General features: G+C 34.5%; 1 annotated feature.

The window, feature by feature from the left end:
• Positions 2,240-2,409: an enhancer, noted in NCBI's record as "experimental_94110 CRE fragment used in MPRA reporter constructs". NCBI's record gives its function as "activates a minimal promoter by MPRAs in K562 erythroleukemia cells, with activity observed for both the introgressed and non-introgressed 6:67069075 variant alleles {active_cell/tissue: K562}" and the evidence as "EXISTENCE:reporter gene assay evidence [ECO:0000049][PMID:34662402]".

Here is a 2,644-nt window from a genome sequence, read left to right on the forward strand (position 1 = left end):
TTTTTGTATTTTTAGTAGAGACGGGGTTTCACCATGTTAGCCAGGATGTTCTCGATCTCCTGACCTCGTGATCCGCCCGCCTCAGCCTCCCAAAGTGCTGGGATTACAGGCTTGAGCCACCGCGCCTGGCCGTAACCCCTCAACATTTCTACATTCAAGTTTTAAAAAGAAATAAAAGGTTACACAAAGTTTTAAGTTTTTTGTTTGGAAAATAATTTGTTTTCTTCTTCAAAAAAATTTCATAAAAAACAGCTTTTTTTCTGTCATATTCTGGAAAATTATGATGCTCAAAATATTTGCTTTTGTGGTGAAAAACAACATGAACTGTCACTAAGGTTACTTCTGACATCATTTTTTAAGTGATCTAAAAACATAAAGAGGAGTAAAATAAATCTAGAAAATAAATTCTTGGTCAAAAGACAAGGTTTTGATTTCACATCCAAATATATTTTTCAAGATGCCTGTGTCTTGGAAACAATTCTATCTGCTGCTACAACTTTCCTAGTAGAAACACTTTTATCTGAGTTAGAAGAAGCCTGACATCTGAACTTTCATGCAAATTTGGATTTGTCTCAGGAGATTCAGGGTATTTCAGATTTAAAATTTTACTCCAATATGCATGAGAATGATATTTAAACTATTTAGAAGAATCCATACCCTTTAACTGTATCATTTAAGTGCATTGTGTTGTATTGTTACCAAAATAAACATAAAAACAGAATAGAGGCAAAGGCCCTTTGGGGCCAAGGATGAAGCTCAGATAAATATTTATATCCCAAGTGGAAATGTTCTGAATGCAATCTCCCCTTTCTGTCATTCAGCTATGACGATGACTTATCATCTGTATCAGGTGACAGCATTCCAATGTAATCACTTGAAGATTGATTAATCATTTAAGGTTCTACAGTTAAAAGGAAAACATTTACTAAAGGTAATGTAGAGCCAGATGATATTTTGGGACCTTGACCTGGCTTTTGAGTTTAAGAAATGATGCTGTCATATTTCTGTAAGAGACAGCATATGGTATGCAAGATAAAATGTTGTTTCCCTAATGTGTCCCAACCCCAAAGAACCAGTTGATGAGAAGCCTGGATGTTTGTATGACAAGCTTAGGTATGTGCTTGCCTCTGTGAAAATTAAATTGTCATTGTGCCAAGGATATGCAGAGAATATCCATTAGCAATTGATGTCAGTATGTATATGTAGAATTTGAATGGGCTCTTTGTACAAATCAAAATTGGCTATGTGAAAAGAAGTAGAGATCAATTATACATTTGAAACCTGAATTCTTAAAATAAATATCAAGGCAAACAGTGAAAGAAAAGATACTTTAGTTCTTACGTTCTTAGCTATTTGCACCCCTGAAGCTCTGATGCACCAATTTTTTTCCTTATAAGAAAAACGATTATATTATTCAAAGGACGTTGTAATAAGTAACAGAGATTTTAATATGTGAAAATGTTTTGAATTTTTGAGGTGCTGACAATGATAATCTAAGTATTTATAAAAGCAATAGTTTTGAAGAACTGATTGTAACATGAGGTTGAATTCAATGCATTCTATACAAGATTTCTTGTTAGCACATATCTTTAGAAATACATATGTATGTTTGGACCATAATATTTGTTAATTATCACTTCTAGATTCCTATGTTCCCAATAATGACAGGCTGTTTTCACCTTTTCCCTCTTTTGAGTTTGCTTATAGGAAATAATATCTTTCATGTCTATACATGATGGAGACAGTGGAGATTGAAAACAGGCAGGATTACTGCTAACATAACCAAATGCTTAATGGTGAAAGAGATAAACTGTCATAGGCTGGAAAATGTTTGCGTAAGTTTCTTTAAAAATTTTTCAAAAAGCTGATTTTTAAAAATTGCATTTTTATGTTATTGAAGGGTGATGTATTAGTTAGTTCTCACACTGCTATAAAGAAATACCTGAAACTGGGTAATTTATAAAGAACAGAGCATTAATTGGCTGACAGTTCCATAGGGGAGGCCTCAGGAAACTTACAATCATGGCATAAGGTGAAGGGGAAGCAGGCACATTTTACATGGCTGGATAAGGAGGAAGAGAGAAAAGGGGGAGGTGCTATCCACTTTTAAACAATCAGATCTCCTGAAAACTCACCCACTATTATGAGAGCAGCAAGGGGGAAGTCCACTGTCATGATCCAATCACCTCCCACCAGGTCCTCCTCTCACATTGAGGGTTAAAATTTGACATGAGATTTGGGTGGGGTCACACATCCAAACTATATCAAGTGATATACTGTATTGTTGATTGTTAAAGGAATGGAGAAAATAACAAAAATGATTTGGAAATGATCGTGTGCCAGGTAGTATTAAGGCACATAAGATATTTGAATATATTCTCTCATTTGTCCTTCACAACAAACCTATTAACCCTATAATTGTATTTCTCTTTCACACAAGGGAAAATAGAACTACCTTCAACATTTATGTTAGTATGTGATAGAGTAGTGATTTAAACTCAATTTATTTTAATCACTAAATCTCAGCTCCTTCTAGTGTATTGTCATACACACCAGATTAGGCTATGTGTGTGTGTATATGTGTGTGTGTGCATGTGTAAGTATGCAAATACACACACACACACACACACACACACACATATAT

This window comes from Homo sapiens, chromosome 6 (genome assembly GCF_000001405.40).
Source record: "Homo sapiens chromosome 6, GRCh38.p14 Primary Assembly".
In the NCBI taxonomy this organism is placed as follows: domain Eukaryota; kingdom Metazoa; phylum Chordata; class Mammalia; order Primates; family Hominidae; genus Homo; species Homo sapiens.